We start from the raw sequence: 21,577 nt of genomic DNA on the forward strand, positions 1-21,577 counted from the left end.
AGTTACCAATCTCCATTCAAAACAATTGCTTTTGCATTTATCTCTGGTAGGATTATCATGAACCTTTCTGGGGGAGGACATTCTGTCTCCAAAATGGGTAACTTTTGTTCAGATCTTGGTTTTATCTATACAGGTATCCATGTCCATGTCAGACCATTTCACACAGCACTGAAATTTGTTTCCTTTGCCTGATTTTCTCTAACCTGGCCTGGAGGAAGAAGGTATTTTCACTTCTCTAAACTCAATCTGTCAGCTTTATTAAACTTGCTAATCCTGTTACATGCTCCAAATTCACTAATGACCAAGCAGGTACCACCAACTCTGGCCCTGATAAAAAGGACAAACTTCTAGCCCCAGCCTCCAGCAGTGGAAACATAGTCAGCTGGCATTGAGGTGTCTGGGAAGGAAACTTCTCTGAGCCTTGACTGGATACAAGAACATTCACCGTGAGCCAGCTTCTGTCTGTTTTTGACAGCAGTTCCCTCTCTAATCCTTCCTTGGAGCTCTGTACATGCTGGGATGGGGGTGTCCTAACAAGGTACCTTTGCAATCATTGACCTTTTCAAGGGTGCTGGGTTGGGACATGTGTGGATTTTTTCAGTTGGAACTATGGGTTTCACAGTGAATTGCAGCACATACAGTTAATTCACAGCAGAAAATGTGGTGAAACAGCTGGAAGAAGGCAGCTGCATAGGGGCAGGGGTTGTAGAGGGAGAGCAGGGTTAGAGGTGGGGAAGGAAACATTGGCAGGAGAAAAGCAATAATGTTACAGGGCTATAACTGGGGGAGAAGAGCAAGTTCTGGGTATGAGCATTTAATATGTGGACAGGGTAATATATTCAATAGGGTAAAGGAAATATTAGTCCACGAAAAATCCAACTTCTTGACTTCAGGCATCTGCAGAGCAAAGGTGACCTCAGACATCTACAGATATGGGCCCATCCCTCTCTAAAGGGAAGACAAAGTGGCTCCTGATTTTCCAGTTGAGCTTTTCTGGAGGCCGTAAAGTTCTCTGTACCACTCATTGTGCCCCACTCCTACTAGACTCTCCTCCCAAGCCTACCATGGAGCCAGTCCTTCCAAAAAAGGTCTCGTCTCCAGAGGATTGCTGGAAAAATACAAATAAAATTACTTCAAGCTCATCATTCCCACTGTGATACTGACCTACAGGCAGAGAATGAGGCCTGATGGAATGAAACAGGACTAGCAGGTTTTGGTAAGTGAAAGGCATGAGGACATGGAGTCAGCTCCATGTGGGGGCAGAAATCCCATCTTTATTACTCATCACTGGGTCTCCAAAACCTTGCCCAGTGCCCAGTGTGTCCAAGGCTGGGTAACAGTAATGTCTAACACATGCTGATCACATCAGCACTGCAAAGCAAGGCTCACAGTACCCTATGAGGTAGGTATGGTTATTACCTTAATTTTGGAGGTGAACAAAATGGAAGTGCAGGGGTTCAGTGTATGGCTTAGGGTCACTCAGATTGAAACTGGGCTGCTTCATGTCCAGATCTGTTCTTAACCTCTACACTCTGCTGCCTCCCTCAATGAATGTTTGTGGGTGTACCAAGTAGAAAGTGATGTCAGGCTGTGTGGGGACACAAATGAGGTCTCTGTACAGGTCAAGGGCAGCAAGGAGGAAGGCTGGAAGGAGAAACATATGGAGCAGGATGCAAGAGCTGCAACACCTTTGGTCCCAAGCTAGTGCTTGCTGGGCTTAGTCCTGGTGGGTCTGGGCTCATTTTCCTTCTTTTTTTCTTTGAGACAGAGTCTTGCTGTAGCCCAGGCTGGAGTGCAGTGGTGCGATCTCGGCTTACTGCTACCTCTGCCTCGTGAGTCCCAGTTCAAGCAATTCTCCTACCTCAGCCTCCCGAGTAGCTGGGATTTACAGGCATGTGCCACTATGCCCAGCTAATTTTTGTATTTTTAGTAGAGACAGGGTTTCACCATCTTGGCCAGGCTAGTCTTAAACTCCTGACCTCGTGATCCACCCACCTCGGCCTCCCAAAGTGCTGGGATTACAGGTGTGAGCCACCGTGCCCGGCCTTATTTTCCTTTTGATAGAGCTGTGGGTTGGGGTGAGGAAGGTGTGAAACCTTATATTTGTCCCTTTCTGCTTTGTCTGCTCCTCTCCCAGTTCAAGATCGGGGCCCCTAAGACCAAGCAGCAAGTTCTGGGAAGAAAGAATCCAGCCTGAGTTGTTTTTTACCTTTAGAAGATACGGTCCCATTCTTTCGTACAGGTTGTCTTTTTCTTTTTTGCCTTGTTTGGTACATCAGTATGTATTCTCTCTCACGCCTCCCTGCCTAAAGGGTGGAAGCTACATTCAGAAACTGAGCAGAGGACTCAGCACATGCAGAGGTTCCCTCACATACATCATTAAAATACATGGTTAATGATAGCCTTCTGCTGTGCTGTACTAAACTTGAAGAATGTTCTTTGCACATATCTCTTCCATACGCTCCTAACGTCTTTACTCTGACAGACTTAAAGACAGCTCTGAGGATTTACTTTCTTAAGGAGGTGACGTGAAAAACTGAAAAGTCTTTTTTCTTTTGTGTTTTTGTTTCACTGGTGAATGGGAAGGTGTTCTGTTTGACAGTGGCAACCTTCAGCATCACCAATTAAACCTCTTTACAAATTGCAAATGATTTCTTTAACCCCAGTGTGGGAGTGTGAATTGAGCAAATAGAGGAATGTGAGGTAGCAACTTTACTATAACAGAAACAAGGACAGGAGGAGAGAAAATTCATGGAAAGCTTTTAGATCAAATTGTTTTAAACATTGCTGGCTGAAGCTGTCACTGCATTTCATTCCTCCTACCTGATCCTACAGTTCTCCCTCCTCATCCTTCCCCTCCACCAGACACACACATGCAAGGATCATAGGTGGCGATCCTGCTGGGAAGAAGGTCATCAAAAAAGATGCAAGATAAGAACATGATATATATACATATATATTTACAATTTAAGATGTTGATATCTGTTATACATAATTACCAGGGACCAGGTTATTCAGCAGTCCTAGGAACGTGGAGATAGCTCAGAGACAGAGATGAAAAGAAAATTTATAGGTTTGCTTTCCAGGAAAGAAAATTGGGTCTGAAACAACTGAAATCCTTAAAGAAACTGGAATAAAGGTTAGTTTTAAATTTGGTTACACTTAAATGGTTGACTTGCCTATCTGTCGTTAATATATCCAGTTCCAACTACAAAGAGAAAACAACCAGCAGGCATGAGCGTGAACTGCACAAGTCCTCTTGGAGAACAAGGCCTTTGCAGTTGACGTCAGTTTCTGGCCCTAACAGTTTTAAATCTGCTTTCAGAAAACTTCTCCTGGGCATGCATTCGCAGATGATCTTGTGATAAGGGGCAAGGGTTGGGCTTTTTAAGGGTGTGTCTGTTTTGAGACCTCAAGCATGCTGGACAATGTGTTGGTCAGATCCTGGTGGTACACAGTAGAACGTAAAAACAACAGAAAAGTAATACTAACAGACCATGAGCTAGATGAGTCTTGAGACTAAGACAAATGAGGAAATACAAGACTCTACGTATCCTTTAGTGGATTCCTTCAGGACGACTAATAGATACTATAAGGGTGCAGCAGCTGCACCAACATTCTGAATGCCAGGCAATTCCAGAAGTTTGAAGCTCCCTGTCAGACTCCACCACACAGCTATTAATATACAGAATCCCCCAGAAACAAATATGAGATGCAACCAAGATTTATGGATATGTTAATTACAGATTTATAATAGCAAAAACAGGAAGTTAAATGCCTGACACACAGGCGTGTGGTTCAATTATTTCACATCTACATTATACAGCCGTTAAAAATCATGTCTTTGACTTGGAACCAACCCAAATGTCCAACAACGATAGACTGGATTAAGAAAATGTGGCACATATACACCATGGAATACTATGCAGCCATAAAAAATGATGAGTTCATGTCCTTTGTAGGGACATGGATGAAATTGGAAATCATCATTCTCAGTAAACTATCACAAGAACAAAAAACCAAACACTGCATATTCTCACTCATAGATGGGAATTGAACAATGAGATCACATGGACACAGGAAGGGGAATATCACACTCTGGGGACTGTTGTGGGGTGGGGGGAGGGGGGAGGGATAGCATTGGGAGATATACCTAAGGCTAGATGACGAGTTAGTGGGTGCAGCGCACCAGCATGGCACATGTATACATATGTAACTAACCTGCACAATGTGCACATGTACCCTAAAACTTAAAGTATAATAAAAAAAAAATCATGTCTTTGAGGAACATTTGGTGACAAGAAAAATATTTATAATAATATAATGAAAAATCAAAAAGGTACAAAACTGAAGACAAGATGATAGTATTTATTTATTCATTTATTTATGGGCTTTTCCCTCTGGTCATATACATGACTGGAAAAAACTAAAATAAAGCGTTAATGGTGGTTATCTCTGAGTAATGAGATACCAAGATTTTTTTTCCTTACCCCTATATTCTTTTCTTTCTATAATTTGCAAGCTTCAAACATACTTTTGCTTTTTACTTTTATAATAAAACATAGTGGTTTTAAAAACACAATTGTCAGCTCTCACAAGAACACCCAGCTAAGTTGGCACCAGTCCACTGTATAATTGTTATTAATAAATGATAATGCATGAAATTCCTGCCCCCAGATATAAATAATTATAATGAAAAATAATTTATTTGTCTCAGACAATAGCCTTTGGTCCAGAGGCTTTAAACCTTGTGTTCTGCCTTAAAATTCATCCTGCCAAAAGTCCTGTCTGCTATATTAAATACTTTGTTATTTGTTGAGACAGGGTCTCGCTCTGTCACCTACGTTGGAGTGCAGTGGTGTGATCTCGGCTCACTGCAACCTCTGCCTCCTGGGCTCAAGTGATCCTCCTGCTTCAGCCTCCCAAGTAGCTGGGACTACAGGTGCGCCATGTTGCCCAGTCTGGTCTTGAACTCCTAGGCTCAAGAGATCCGCCCACCTCGGCCTCCCAAAGTGCTGGGAATACAGACATGAACCTCCACACCCAGCCTATATTAAATACTATTGATGCATGAAGAGAGAATTAATACTTGTTGAGTATGTACTCTAGGCTTGGTGTTAATGTACATGGTTTCATTTAACACACAAATGAGGAAGGTGAAGTTCAGAAATAATTTGTCTCAGTCACATGGCTACTCAGTGATCAAAATGGATTCAAACCCTCTCAGTCGGGTCTGAAGGCCTCGTCTCTTTTGACCACCACAAGGCTGGTGGCAACTTCAGATGAGACGTAGACTTCATTTCAGACATTTAAGAATAGATTTGCAAAATATTGCCAGTGCTCCTAATGTGAGGGCAAAATAATTGATGATTAATTCTTTTCTTTCACATACCCTAGTGGAGGTACTGGGGAAACTTCCAAAAGGAGACAAAGTTCAGACAGAAAAGAGGGTGAGTAAGTAATCCACCACCTGGGAAACCCCTGATAAAACAGGCAGTGATTGTAAAGATTAGCCCAGCCCTCTGCCTAGGGAGGGAGGTGGCCACCCGCAGTGACTGGCAAGGACTGTCAGGTTCTGTTACTTCACAAATATCTCCCCCACCCCCTAGGTCAAGGTGCTGCTCTTCCTTCCTACTGAGCCAGAACCCCATCTCTCAACAGTCATTGCTTTGAGTTGATAACAAAGCCTACGTCATAGACTCTAGACAGGTATCTTAAAAAAGCTGAAAACTTTCCTGTAGAAGGGACAAAGACCTCGAAGATTATCTCACTTTACTTTTTCCATTGAATAATAAGTGACTTTTAAAATTTTTCAAAAAGGGCCTATGGGCTAGATACTGTGTTAGGCCTGTCTATACATGTATCATCTAATTCAATCAGCAGATCAATTTATAATCAAAACATCTTAGCTAGAACCTCACAATTACAAGTACTTCCACATACATTCTCTCATTTGCTTCTCACAATAAGCCTTAAGGAAGGCAAGGTAGGAGTTATCCCCATTTTACAAACCAGGAAACTGAGGCCTACTGCCACTTTGTCTGGCTTATTGGAACAGACAGCAGCTTCCCTGGAAGCCACAGAGGGACTGGCTGTGTGTGGAGTGGATATGAAGGTTTTGGTTGAGAATGTGGCAGCCTTGTGTCCCTGGAAGACAGGGTGCTGAAGAAGGGTTTTAGGGTAAGGATGAGGGTCATGAATATGAGAGTGGAAAGATAAACTATGTCTCACAACATTGCCTATGGGGAGCTCTGTATGAATGGCTTCCTCCTTTGGCTTTCTACTTTCTCAATCCTATTCACTCCCCAAAACCAAACCCAAGTCCCACAGATCCAGGAAACCTTTCTTGATTATCTAGCACAAAGAAACCATACGTGTAACACCTTAAGGTTTTCCCAGGCCTTAGCTCATTACAATATTATGACATGCTTTTGAGATAGGCTTTGCCATTCTTTTTACAAGTGAGAAAAAGGAAGCTCAGAGAGGTTAAGTAACTTGTCAGGCTGATACATTTAATAAGCAGCAAAGTCTGGATTTCAAACTACATCACATCATAGCTGCCTCAACTTCCTGTACACTTATCATGTCCTGTATCTTGTCATGTGTTTCTTAATTCCTTAACTCAGTTGTAAGTTCCCCGAGGGCAGACAACTAGTCTTATATTTCTTTGTAACCCCCATTTCTGTTCCCCTAGAACTTAGCAGAGTCCTATGAGCACACAAGTCCTCAATAAACATCATATGTTAAATATCTGCTGGGTAGGAACAATAATGATTAAGTGGGATTTTTTTGATACTCTGAATATTAGGCTCTCTGTTGTATATAATTAAAACAAGAGTGAACAAGAAATATATAATTTCTCCTAGCTCTAGTGTAATCAGGCATTCATTATCATGTCTAATTCTGTGTTCAGTGAAAAGAACTGCTTAGTAAGCATTTTCTTTGATGAGGATAATCAAATACAGATATCAGAGAGATTTAAAAAAGACAAAATCATCAAACATATGGAGAGGCAATGATCTACAGGGTATAATATTCCATCTGAGACTAAAGAACTTTCAAGGCAAAAAGAACACTTGTTTACTTTTTGACAATTGGATATTCAAGGAACACTAAGAGAGGAAGTCACGGTGTAACTGGGATCTTGTACCATCACACATTATTCTTTATCAAGAAGATGGATGCACTGTGCTACTGTTCTGGGTGAGGAACAGAGAAGGAGTACATTTCAAGGGCTATTCTGAGAGAAGGGGTTTTCTCTGAGACCTTTTCAGCATGTCAGTCATTTAGGTACCACCTTCGCTGGCAGGCAAACTTAATGAATATACATGCAATGCGCAACTGATTACCCTGTCGGGTCTCTTGCTATTTCCCTCCCAGTATATCATCAGTTATAGTTTTGGAAATACAAAGAGCTCAAACAGACTCACTGAAATTAGAATTTTTGATGGTGGGGATTAGCTCACATACTTCTAAATTGACATTTGATAAACTAGGCTGACAATAGCAGTGCCTGTCAATCACATTTTCTTGCCAAACCCATATATTAATCTTAAGCTGCTGACAGGCAGAGCTTCTGATTTCCTTTATGTGGTAGATAAAGTGCTACATCCCCATGTGTTCAACCAACGTCAAGCAAGAAGAACAAATACCAGGTTTGTGGTACCTACATTTGAATCCTCATGGCTGTGGCCATTGGTCTCGACCAATTCCTTGGTACCTTTTAACTGCAAATTTTAAGGAAAAACAACACAAAACAAAAAAATGAATAAGCAAGCAAATCTCTTAAGTATATCATCTTGTTAACTGATTTATCTGAGGTTGCATTTTATAAAACTTCCAATGAGATAAAACAGATGGAGCACATATTTCTAATGAGCCTTATTGGAGCCAGTTTGAGACCAATATTTTATGAAGTTTGATGCCTGGCAAAAGAATAAATGGGTCTTGGTCATTATTTTTTAAATAATAAGATTAGAAAGCAGTTCCATAGGCATAAAATGTATAAAATTGGTTCTTAAGAATAATAAATGATTTCATTTCCTAGTTGGATTGCTATTAATTTAAACCCTGCAGTGTTTGCAAGTTGCCACCAGCAAAATGATGTTATATTAACGATTATTCGTGAATGATGCATTTTCAGCTGCTTTTAACATGCTACTGTGCTACCAGACAGGTCCTCCTTGAGAATATATTTGAATGACTGACATCTCTGGAGGACTAAAGACGGTTGCTTCTTTGGTAGAGAAAGAGTTTGGATGACATCTCCTTGGCCGCTGAGGCATTAGAAGAAATTATATTTCTCTAATGAGATTTTTAGCAGTGAACATTTGAAAACATTTCTCTTTCTCAGAGGCTTAGGAGTAATCAGTTATAAGGAGGTTTCAGGAAACCTTTAATTGTCATTTTATCCTATCCTGACGCAAAACAGACATTTAGAATCAGACGGCAAAGGAAGAGGGTGAGCTGGCTTGCAACTGTTTTGCCAGTATTTTTTCCTGACTTAGGAAAGCAGCATCTCCTCCATTATCTTTTTTATACCTAATACAAAGTATTCATGGTAGGAAAAAATACTTAAGATTTGAAAGAAAATCAATGCACATATACCACCAATGTGTTTGATTCATAACATTGGTTCCTTCTGGCTACTTGTGCATATTAAAATGAAAGCTTCTTTAGTTTTTTAAGGCCAGTCTTAAACTCCCAGCAAAAAAAAGCCCTACCCGCTCCATGCCAAAGAAGGGGTTTTGCCAAAGGAATGGTAACATGAAGAAATTGAGGATCAGGTAGTTGATTATGGACCAAAGGCTCTTTGGCTCATTTCCATATCACTCCCACTTAAGAAAAAAGTCTGCCCACTGTTCTCTAGGGCAACATCATTGATGGTTCTACACACAACAGACACAGGGGAGCATGGGCGATGTATGGCATATATGACAAGGCAGAGGTGTGCCACAATAATAGGAATACTGTCTATTATCACAGGACACAAAAGGACTTTTTAAAATCCCCTCACTCTTTTCCTAGCTGAGGGTTTCTTATTGTAGGTATCCCTCATCTTCATCAACCTCTCTGCTCATCCCACCTTAGGTCCTGTAGCTTGTGCTCCCATGAGTTCGAGTGGGGTTAGCTCAGAAGGTCTTGTTCTTTTTCAGCAGAAGTAGAGGACTATTTTGTGAATGTCTGTTCCACCTTTACGTGTTTACCAACATAAATGTGCCAGTTGCTCTCCTCTCTTTTAAATAAACTCCATTCTTCCCATTCCATGATGTCCTCTAACTCTGCTCTCGCTTTTTCTGCTCCTGTTTATTCTCCCCTCACTCCCTGTCTCCTGGCATTGTTCACTCCGCTGTGCTCCATTGCCAGAACCGTGGAGGAAACCCCTCCCCGCTGCAGCCCACCCCTCTCCTTCCTCGAGCTGCAGCTCCAGGACAGCTGCTGCTTTGTTCTTCTCTCTGCTCCCTGTTCTTCTCTCCTTTAGCTGCTACTCTCCCCCAGGTAGGGCTGAACATCCTGTCTGATGAAACTGAGGTTTGTGAACAAGCTCCAGAGGTAGGAAGCTATCCTCATTGTAAATGAGATGAAAGGCAGGAGTCAGTGGGGCCTGGAGGGACCTAGAAAAGCTGCATCTTCGCAAATGGGAAGACTGAGAGCTTAGGGGTTAGCGTGGCCTTCCCTGGAGGGGCTGGGGCCTGAGGGTGGGAAAGGTCTGCCCTCAGGACCTATCCTTTCTTGTCAGGATTCCCAGCACGGGGCAATCCTGTGAATAGCAACATTCCAAATCTGCAGAGCAGGGTGTATCTTTCCCTGCATGTGTCCATTTGTTTAGGCCACATCTATGTGGGCACTGAAACTGTTTACGCATAGAGTTACTCTACACAAATCCAAAGAAAGCCTCAAAGGCAGTGGTCAGTGGAGGTGAGAGGTGTCATCAGTGCACATCTGTGTGTGGGTACAGGGACATGGAAAGAAACCTGTACCCTGCATGGCCCCTTTTGCAAGAACCACCAAGGGGTAGCAGGTGAGGGGCTCTTGGACAAACAGCTTGGTAATGGCACCAGCACCCAAAAACATTTGGTGTCAGGCTTAAAGATTCTTGGTATCTGTGCTTGTAAAGAGCTATCCCATTGAAATTAATATTGCAGATTTAAAATTCTTCCTTCTCAATTGTATTTTCTAGGTCTTTAATGATTTTAGCTGTTTCGAATCTTCTTCACGTTCTCTTTTTTTTAAAATAATGGAGAGTGAAGTGTGATGTTTCACCCATAATTGTGTGTGCTCTGCTCTTTAAAAATGCATGCCACAACAAGATATATCAATACTTTCAGCAAAACTCAGAATCTATTTTTATGACTAGGGTTTGGACTTCAAAATAAAGGATTTGAGTCATTTAGAGAAAAGAGAAATTCACCCCTCCCCACTCTAGTCAAAGCTATCTAAAAGAAAAAAAATCGGGGTGAGAGAGCAGAAAACAACAAAAGCTCAGAGCTATATCTGGTTGATTTGGAGCAAATTTGGACCAACTCAGTTCCACTTTGCTGGGAGTCTTTTCATAATATAACAGTGGAAAGCACAGTGATTTCAGGTCTCCTCAACTGCAGGTCATTGTGAATTCAGTCAACTAGATTTTTCATTTCAATCTACTATATCTGAAATCATACAGAGTCAGCCTCAGTACAAGTTACTGAATCTATATTCATCATATAAAGATAATTATTAGTTTTATAAAGCATTTTCTTCCAAAGCTATAAAGGTTTATAAACTAATATCTGTACTTTTCTCTCACAAATCACTCATACCTTTGGGAGAAAATAACTAAAAAGATATTTTCTGGACCCCAAACCATTAAAAAAAAATCACTCATAAAGTGACACAGAGCTGACTTTATATTTTCTCAAATGTCACCTTTGAAGTTATGTATACAGTGTAAGGTTATTTATACAATATAAAACGATTATGTGTATGAAAAATTTAAAACAATCTGCATTTGATTACTCACAGAGGGTTGGGGTAACTGTATGCAACTTTTTCCTTCAAATTACCATTCATACATTGTTGGCAGCAAGTGAAGGCCAGAAATAGGAAGGCATTTCAAGAGCTCTCCTGGCTCCTCTCATGTAGATAGTGGGCTTAGATTTCACTCTGCTGCCTGCCGAGTGTTCCATCTTACCCTGCTGTAAGACAATACTTTCCAATCCACTTATCAATGTCAGGCCACACTTTTGTATCAAAGAAAGCCAGAATGAAATGATCAGGTTTACAAACTTCATATAAAAGGTCTGTTGCTCACCATGGTTAGATAAGTACCCTGATGCACAGGGAAGATACTTTTTAAATGTTGCTATGAATCAGTCCTTGTTCATGTGTCTGCAGGAGTCTCATGGGTTATGCTGAACTCATTTTCCTCACTGTTAGACTTAAGAGGAAACCAGCTGCTTACTTTGAAACATACCTCATTGCCAGTATTTTGAAACTTTATCGAAATTTGATTGTCTTCTGGAAGAAACTTTCACACAACACTGGCAGGCTTGGGCAATCTAAACAAGTACAGGAGTGAGGATAGCGATGCTGGGAATGAGGTTATAAATTCCGCATAGCAAAGCTGCTAGGAAGTTTGACAGGGTTCAGACTAATTGTACTGCAGATTACTTTCAGTAAATGTTTGCACGGGTGACGCACAAGGGAGGTATGCAATGGGGTGTTTGGACTGATTCATAAATCAGAGCTGTTTCATTCACTTACTTGTTCCTGCAGGACTTTTAGTAACGCTTGTGTATGGGACTGCTCTTCCTTTGCTTGTTCCAATTCTGACTTTTTGTTGTTTAACTCCTCCTGGATGGTTAGCAATTGCTGTGAAATTAAAGGATATTTAGCATAAGTAGGATTGAAGGTCAGGTGATTTAAAAATATCCACAATACCCATTCAAAATTATGAGTAGAAGATGTTTACAAGTCTTGAAGCTTAATTCAGACCTCAGTTGACCTTGTGTGTTTTCCGCACTAAGTATCAAGGGCATTGCAGTTTTGACACACTTTAGGTTGTTTGTGATACTGATGCACAAAACTTGTTTTCATATTTGTGAAGGCATCATTATATTCCTTTGAGCAAATGCCTATTTGTAAAACTATATAGGATAGTGCTAATACATTACATTCATAGATGAAAAAATTATAATATAGTCAACTTGTCCAACGTTGCTTCATTTCACATATTACAGTAAAGCTAGCTTTACAGTAACTCTATAAAGCTACTTTGCCAAGTGGCTGGGACCACAAAAGATCCTTTTACTTTCTCTGTTATGATGGTGATGTTTTATTAGATCAGTAGGACTGAAGTCCAAACTGCAATCAATATATCAGCTGAGAAAACTGCTGATATAAACTGTCAAAACATCAAGCTATGGCCTACACTGCTATTTTTAAGCAGGGCCACTGTATGGATTTTTGTAAGCCCTGAGCTTCCCTTGCCCTATCAACTGTAACTCATGTGAAGGCTTTCCTTGTCTGCCAAAAGCACAGCGCTGCGCAGTGCGAATTCTTTGGGACATGGTGATATGTTAATATATACATAGGCTGGAGAATACATTCAAGAGCTGCAAAAAGGCCCTGGAAACAGCTCTGACTATTCAGAGCTTCTTGACAACAAAGGACTGGTTCGAAAAGACAGAGTGCATTTCTTCTGCTACTGTACATAACAATTGCTGTACTAATGATCTGGAAATGTTAGTGGATTCCTGCTATGAAGAGACCTGTCTCCAATAGCCAGGCTACTTCTTCAGGGCCTTGACAAGCTGGCTGCAGAGCTGCCTGGCCAGTTCCTAACCATCAAAGCCTGGAGAAACACTGGCACTGGATTTCTCAGGCTTAAACCTACCAACTGGAAGGATTAAATTAAATCTCCAAATCTACTGGTTTGGGGGGATTTTGCAGGGTAGGAAGTACTCAGAAAAACACACTGTGCTTTCCCTGGGACTTGCTTGTTCTGCTAACTACTGTGGCACTGGGTATAAATGTAAGAACCTACTTTGGTCCTGTAGCATAAACAGTGATTTCTTGCAATTTTCTAAAAGCTCAGTGTGTCCTATTTCACCACCTGCCCATGGAATAATCAATCACATGTGAGGTAATGTACACATTCCATATGCGCTCACTTAACAATTTGTGGGATTTAATTGTGCATCATTGATTAAAGTACAGAAACCAAGGAGCCCATTTTGCACTTTGGCACAGTGACAAGCACCTACATTGTGTCCAGACCGTGGGGAATGGCTCTGTTCCTTCATTCACATTCCTGACTGGCCCTAGAACAGTTCCAAAGGGAACTGGTGCCCTGACTTGGGTAATGCCGAGTGAATTTTACTTCATGAGACGATTTCAAATCCAATCCTTAAATCTCTTTTGAAAAATGAGCCAAATGAAAGATAGGAAGTTGTCTTCAAAGGTAGGTAGCTCATGTTTGCTTATTGCAGCACTTGAGGTGGCAAAACCAAAAATAACTGATGTCCAGAAGAAGGGAGGTGGACATTAATAATCGTGTATCTGTATCATCAGACACTATGCAGCCATTTAAGATGAAGTTGCACAAATGTCTTCTAATGACACAGAAGAAGCTCAAAAAGCACTGCTCAGCAAAAAATACATTCAGGTTACAAAATGTAACTTTGCAGCATATTCATAGGAAAGGATCTAGATGCTGTCTCTGGGTGGGTGGGTTCATGTATCTTTCTTTTTTGCTTGTCAGTTTTCTGGTATATCTGTAACACATACTGCTTTAGTAATGAGAAAAAATCAAATGAATTTAAGATCGGGGAAGAACAAAGAGAGGAATACTACTTGGACACCTCTCTCAGCTATTACCAATACTGTGAATAAATAAGAGGGAGAAGTGCATTGGAGTCTTCATTGCATCCGCACACTTACAACTCTTCCTTCTATTAAAACACACACACACACACACACAAGCATGTGTGTGCATATACACCCCTTTCTCTTGACCACTCTTTTTCTTTTAGCCTCCCTCTTATCTCATCCATTCTTGGATTCACACTTTTTAAATGAAATGTCTTCCCTCTCATCAGTGCTTCCTTTTCTTCTTATGTGTCAGTGATGTAGTGTCTAGATTTTTATTTCAATGTGTTTTTCCAAAACATATATTGTCATTGTTTTGTGTGTTTTTTTATGTGATATTATGTTTCTTATTGTTTGCTATGTTTTAAATTAGCATTATGTTTTTAAGATCCATCCATGTTACTATTTTTTTGTTAATGAATTTATTTAAAAATCTAATAGATTTTCCCCTTTTATTCCCAAAATGTGCTATACATAAGGAAACTTTGAAATTCCCTTGAGATTTTACTGAGCTTGATTTATTATTATTTTTTATTATACTTTAAGTTCTGGGATATATGTGCAGAACGTGTAGGTTTGTTACATAGGTATACACGTTACTATTTTATGTATCTAATCCATGCTTCTGATGGGGTATATCCACCCCATTTTACCCAACCCACTCTCACAGTGAAGGCCATTCAGATTACCCCAATTCTTCCCACTGTATACAAGCCTGCAATGGAATATGCTAGTGCAAGTTCCCTTATGGCCCTGTGGGAGGATTTCCCTGGGATGCATATCCAGTGGTGGAACTCTTAGGTAAAAGAGTGAATTTGGCAAAGCTGCTCTCTGGGATGGTTATGCCAGTCTACCTGCCTGTCAGTGGTGTGTAAGAGCTGCTGTGCTCTACTGAATAATAACACTAAAAGCATTGTTCGGCTTTCTAATTGTTGCCAGTTTAATAGAACACCAAGATTCTTCATCTTTGAAAAATTTTGTACTTCTTTGATTCCCTGTGATTTTAAGCATCTTATATACTTGCTAGCTATAGGGGTTTATTTATAATTTTTAAAATAGTCAAGAGCAGTGGTTCTTAATTCTGACTCTCCATTAACATTATCTGTGAAGATTTTCAAAAAAATACTTATTTCTGGGCCTGACACAAGACCAATTAACTCAGAATATTGAGAGGTGGGACCCAGGCACTGACCATTTTTAAAACACCTTCACAGGTAATTATTCTAATGTGTAACTGGGGATGAAAACCACTGTATCCTGAAATGCTTATTTAATCTTGCTTATTTAATCTTCAGTCTACTATAATGTGACTTTAATCCCTAGTACTCTACTCAGACTGTTCTCACTACAGTCACCAGTGCCTTGCTAATTGCCAGCTAGTATTCCAGGTTCTTTTCTTCTCACTACACGCTCTCTCCAGGGGATCCTATTCACGCCCATGGCTTTAACTACACATCACATGTGCTGGTGCTTTACAACACTGCCTTTACAGCCTCTGCCTCTTTCTTACCACCTACCAGACCCTTCACTTCCTGTGTTTACAACTGTGCCCATTAGCACACCTACCCTTCCCACCCCAACCAGTCTAAACGTCTTTCCCTGGTAACCAGAGTTAAAACCTTGAAGTCAACGCTGGCCCTTTCATCACCTTCACAACCTCTTTGCCGGTTCCTTGACCTTTTCTCCATCCCATCCTTGCTGTCATAGTAAAGGCTACCATCTCCTCTCCTCTGGGTTTTTCCTGTTCCCCCTGCCATTTACCCGACACTCCTGAGAGAGTTGACTTCCCATGAATTAAAGTGCTCCCATGATTAAAAGTACTGTTAATTCTCTAACCCCTATAGATAAAATCTAAACCACTAAACTCATCCTTCCCCAGACATGCCAGCTGCTTCCATGACTTATGACAAGTTTACCACTCAGAATTCTGCCTGGCTTATTCCTACTCATTCTTTAAGCACCACCTCAAATGTTGCTTTTGGCCCAAGATCAACTCAGATGATGCCTTTGTAAAACTGAAAAGAGCCCCATCCTCTCTAGGTAGAGACAATCCCTCACCAGGCATATGGTTGGGCACTGGCTTTGAGGCTTGATTTCATTCCCACTTACCCCTTTGGCCTGCTGCTCTTGTCCAGGGCAGAACCTACACTACGAAATGCGGTAGCCTTGGGTTCTTGCTCCAAAAAAATATTCTCTAATCACTGAAGCAAAGTTAGTTCATCTATCTTCTTGCTCCCAAAGCACTTAATTCAATATACCACATTTCATATCTGTCTTCCCAACCAGACTACATTCACCAATATTAAGGTCAATGATTAGGTTACCTCTAATATATAATAGCTGCTGAATGAATAAATGAATAAATGAAGGGATAAATGAATGTTTGCTCTTGTTTCCCCACTTCTATGGGATTAAACCATGATCCAACAACAAACAATAAAAAACCCACCAAAACAACAAAAACAAAAACAACCCCCCAAAACACCTGAGGAATGATAAACTACTAATGTATTGTTCTAAACATATGGATACATAAAACTTTTTGAGGAAAACAGCAGTTTCATTTAAGACATTTTGTTTCATTACCTGGCAGTTCCAGATATCCTTTTTAATCTGAAAAGAAATATTTCTCAACAGGCTAAGGAAATCCAATCAATGAATTTATAATTACGTAATTTATTCTTCAAGTTTCACCACAATAAGAACAAAATCACCATTATCAGAAAAATAAAATCACTCCTAGACTGTTTTCTGCATTCTGCAAAGTTAATGTGCTCTTTTGTTTTCAAGGTATAAACTCATAAACTAATATTTATATATTCAAAACAATGGTGATTCAAAACTGCCACTCTTCATGTGACTAGAGGTCCTATAAAAACGGAGGTAGTTCACAACTAGATGATTTAAGTCAGCCTTTCTGGTCTTTTTCACTTGAAATTTATGAGTCTCTATAATATTCTTTCCAGTTTGAATTTTTAAGTACTAAAGTGCCTCAATTATAGAAGTTCATAAGCAGCTAGAACTTAATCAGAAGAGTCTCTTGGTTGGATTGGCTGATGGCAGCGTAATTTTAACATTTGAGAGTGTGGCATTAAACAGATGCACTATTACATTCTTTGGTGGTTACAATGGAGTGTGTTCCAATTAGACAATTATCCATATGCCAATCAAGTGGAAACACTTGGGCGGACCATAAGCAGGTAAATAAATGCTGTACCTGACACATCTTGATATTTCCAGGCCACTGATTTAATGGGATCATTTGTAATGCTCTTTGGGGATGCAGACTTCAGTATGTAATGGGTCTTTCTTTCTGACAAATTCAAAGAGCATTACAAATGTTATTTGGAGCCCTAGAATAAGTGAGGTCACATTTCCATTTTTACAGATGGGAGAATCATGGGCACATAGAGATTAAGGTCATGCTGTCTGGGAGACACCTACCACTTGCACAGTTCAATTTTCCTACCTCAACCCGTGGTTTCTATCCTGGCAATCACACTGCACTGTGAATTTGGAATGGAAATCAGAACATGCCAAACTTAAAAATCCTCCTAGCAACGACTTCTATCTAAACATTCATCATTTCCACTTAGGAGCCAGGCTTGTTACAGACATGCTTTTGTGTATACTTCTGTGAGCGGTGTGTCAAATTTGACGTCCCTTTAAGAACAACAACCCCTTCCTTGTCTTTTTTCTTAAATTGTATAATTTTGTTACCAAGGTGAAGTTTTTATATAGTTAACAGACTATGTAAGTTTGGTTCCATGAAAGTCATAGATGACAGTGCAAATACCCTATATGAAATACATCAGCCACATCTTGTTGTAAGCTGAAATTCACAGGATTGTGATTAATTCAGGAATCTTTGGCAGGATAGTGTGGGGTTAGGAGAACTTCTGTGGGATGGAGGAGTAAGTACCCTTTCTAAATTTAGGTTGGTGGTGGGTCAGGTAAACTAACACAAGGTAGATAGATATAGACAGTGACTGACACCAACACACACACACACACACACACACACATACACACAATTTCTTTTCTTCTTCTGTTTCAGGATTTCCCCAGTGCTTGGCTCTTTGTTTAGTTCTAAAACAATCTGCTAATATTTATTCATTCATTCCTTTAGTCAACACTGAGCTCCTGCTGTGTGCATGGTACTGGGCTGGGCAATGTGAAAGATACAGAGGAAACAACAGTAAATAGCCTCTCCTCTAGATGCTGGGTCACAAAAATTCTTACATGTACATGATAACTAAGTCAGGACAATACAAAGGACTCTTACAATGGCTATAACTAGTATGGTTTCCATAGGAATCCAGGAGATTTCTGGGGATCAGTTTAGGGGTCAGGAGAATGAGCTCAGGGGATCCATCTTGAATCATAACTTGTTCCACTTATTGGAAATGAGCCACTGAATATTCACGATAATCTGGGAATATTTGAACCCACAGAATGTTATCAATTTAAATTCAATGTGTTTTTTACTCTTTTGGTTCAGTTTTAATAACTGTTGTTCCATCTCTGTAACTTTGCTATAAATCAGATGTCCTACTCAGTGGGATAATCCTTTAAGGCTAGCAGAGTATCACCTAAGGAAATGAGCCCCAGAGGTTTCCAAAGGGAATTCTCACCAAAGGCGATGGTGGGTGTGACTGCGTCTGATGGTCTCATCCCAGCAGTCCTTTTAACATTTGCTCTACGTGGCAATACCCATGAGTGTCCCGCCCCATCCTGCCTCTGTAACCCTGTTGCCAACCTGATTTTTCCCAGTATTTTGGCCTGCAATCTGAACTCCACCTGTGACCAGCTCTGCCAGATCCCTGTCCTACTGTAGAGCTTGAGATGGAAGTATACACCCCTTAATCCCCTTTCTCTTGGTGGGATCCTGTTACATCCCACCGCCCCACAGCTTACTGTGTCTTCAGGTCTCCCCAGGACTCTCCAGACCATCCACTGCTCCATCAAGTTTTGGTTCTCACTGACTTCAGAACTCTTTAGGAATGTCAGCCTTAGGTCCCGCTGATGAGGTCTACCTATGCTTGTTTTCCATCTGACACTGAATCCTGAGCTAATCCCTGATTGTTAGAGAAAGTTTGAGATTTAAAAATTCAAGTGAACATTATCACAACCTAAGAGCAAGGCTTTGCCTAAAGGCAAACACATCTAACAGGATTTCTGACAAAGGAGAGAGCCTGTCTCTGGGGAAGGACAATCATTTGCCACCTGGTATCTACAATGCTCACTTTTCTCCTTGGGGAAAAAAAGAATTGAACTAGCTTGAATTTTCTTGTTACATGGGCTTGTAAGACTACTCAAGATCTATTCTAGTTTAAAACGTCATCTGCTTCCACCTGGGGATGAAACTGCACTCAATTTACACTAAGGCATGAGGGTATCCAAGCCTATGGCCAGTGTATTAACCCTGGTGCCCCCCTCCCTGCCTCAGGCATGGTGACCCCTGGGGGAGAAACATCTCTTGGAGAGAACTCCACCATTCAGACGACTGATAACAGGAATCCTGGATCATGGAAATGAAATTGTGTTCACAGCCTAATATGCTATTACACTAGGCTATACATATTTAATTCCTTGGGTCTTTCCTCATAAATCAATTCCTCTAGGCCTTTAATCTCGTCAATATCTTTTCTGATATTGAATTTTAAATGCCATTCTCATTGCTAGGCAGAAGGCAATCTCTCATTCATGATGAGATCAGGCTTCATTTATAGCTGAGAGATGGTGGGAGCATGGCCCTGTTCCCTGACCCTGCTGTTAAGATCCTAATGTCAGCTAGACCGCACAGCCGAGGTGCAGGCCTGCCTGGGTTGATCTCTGAGAGGTCAAGATAATGAACCCTGGGGTCATGCCTATCATTACTCTGGGAGCCTGGGACAGCTATGGAGAGGAGTGAGAAAGCTCAAGTAAGTGTTTCCAAGGGTCTGGCTTCTCATGGGGGTGCCTGAGGCATGAAGGACCCTGCTGCACCCTGACCTGGCAAGGATCCCTGTGGACCGAGTAAGGCATGAGCTGAAGGATGCACACTGTGTGCGTACATCTGAGCAATGTCTCCCAGCGCAGGGGTGAAGGGAGGGCACAGGCTGTGTGTTCGCTAGGGGAAAAGAGGGCATGGAGGAACTCCAGAGAACAAGGACTTAGAGCTGAAAATGTTTCCAGGTTCCCTAGGGCTGGCCTGGAATGCAGTGGGATTTCCTCTGCTGCAGAGAAAAGGAAAAAAATCCAAGAATCTTTGAGCCATGAAAAATCTCCAAAGGGAGGAGTGAGTTTTTTTAGGACCTCAGGAGGCACAGAGAGGTTGAGAAAACACAGGAAGCCATCTGAGATACAGATTTGAGGGCCTAAGTCTGCAGCAAGTGGCGGGGCACCAAGGACGGGGCCTGGGCTACCTGCCTTGGTGTAGGAGTTAAGCAGGTACAATTGTACAAAATGTAAAAACAATAATAAAACTAAAGGTGTATCCATCTATCATCACTATGCACCAGCAATTCTAAGCAAAATCATTGATAAAACTCTCCTTCCTCATAACAATCTTTTGCTGATCTAAATTCTAATTGTTGCCATTACTGTTAAGATTTAATAATATGTATGTAATCTTCAAATTAGCATATTCTGTTGCTTACCCTTTAACAAACATTTTATGTGGCAACTGATTTGGAAAATTTCTAGCTTTATACAGTCTGCCCCAGCTCTCTCTCACACATGACTTAGCTGCACACATTTGTTCTGATTTGAGCTTGCTTTGGATACAGTGTCTCCAGCCTCCTGTAGCACTACATATATTCTGCATTTCTATACTAGATTCAAAATAAACAATGACAGCACAGTTTTGCAAAGACGATGAACTAGAACTTGAGCTACTTCCATTCATCCCACAGGACCACTCTGAGAATTTTTATGTTTAAAATTTAAAACAATGAAACATTTTTAGTTGGCAAGTGAAAATTTTAGTTCATATGTGAAATATGTTTACGTTTCAGTATTTTTAAAATTGAAAATTTTCTTTATAGATTGCTTGCTTTAAAACTAAAAGACAAATCAAGAAAATGTTACATCAGAGACACAATACTTGCCTAAATTGTGCCCTTTGCATTTGGTTTTATTAATACTTATGATTTACTGGACAATTATTTATATACAGCAATATGTTAACTATAATCAAGAATCAAAGTTCTAACTGTTAGGTAAAGTAAAGAAAACTATTGAATAGATAGTTGCAATTTTTTCCTTTTATCACACTATTTAATTTTCTTACTGGCATAAATATACATGAAGTTCAAAAGAAAAAAATTTTAGTCTGCATTTCTTTCTTGGCCATTATTATTCATTCCATTTTATGATAATTAATGAAAATAATGTTGTCTAAATTTAGAGGAGGAAATATTTAAAAAAGGATCCTCTGAGTGTTAAATTTCACTAGGTGCACAATTATCAGGCAGCCAGTGCCTGAGACGGGGAGAGTCATGACCTTGGCCTGTTGGGCTAGGGGCTGGGGAGAACTGTTTCATCAGACAAGATTTTAGAGACCATTTCCTTTGCTTGAATGTACCCCTGGGAGGGACTGGTGTGAAAGACAGATGCTTCGTGGCATTCCCATAATCCACTGGAGTTATTAATCATGATATACTATATCCCAATATGGCAACATTATTCTGAAAAGAAATATAGTCAAGGACTGGCAAAAAGGCAAAAATGAAGCTGCATGTCGGCA

The 21,577-nt window shown here is 40.5% G+C and overlaps 1 protein-coding gene across 27 annotated transcripts in view, besides 1 other annotated feature; it reads right to left on the minus strand.

The window, feature by feature from the left end:
- The window catches only part of ENOX1 (ecto-NOX disulfide-thiol exchanger 1), a 573,843-nt gene that overhangs the window by 44,598 nt on the left and 507,668 nt on the right, over nucleotides 1-21,577 (minus strand). For 23 of the 27 annotated variants that reach the window (NM_001347965.2, NM_001347963.2, NM_001347971.2 and 20 more), the window contains 2 exons: nucleotides 11,743-11,850; nucleotides 7,671-7,727 (listed from right to left, as the gene is read on the minus strand). In NM_001347965.2, the coding sequence (NP_001334894.1) occupies nucleotides 7,671-7,727; nucleotides 11,743-11,850 (165 nt within the window). The remainder of the gene's footprint in view (nucleotides 1-7,670; nucleotides 7,728-11,742; nucleotides 11,851-21,577) is intronic. The other 4 variants (XM_047430424.1, XM_047430426.1, XM_047430427.1 and 1 more) reach the window with 1 other exon arrangement.
- Nucleotides 12,443-12,944: an enhancer, noted in NCBI's record as "NANOG hESC enhancer chr13:43844306-43844807 (GRCh37/hg19 assembly coordinates)". NCBI's record gives its function as "activates a minimal SCP1, AML or CMV promoter by ChIP-STARR-seq in naive and primed H9 embryonic stem cells {active_cell/tissue: H9 hESC(naive and primed)}" and the evidence as "EXISTENCE:reporter gene assay evidence [ECO:0000049][PMID:30033119]".

Source organism: Homo sapiens, chromosome 13, assembly GCF_000001405.40.
Source record: "Homo sapiens chromosome 13, GRCh38.p14 Primary Assembly".
Classification (NCBI taxonomy): Eukaryota; Metazoa; Chordata; class Mammalia; order Primates; family Hominidae; genus Homo; species Homo sapiens.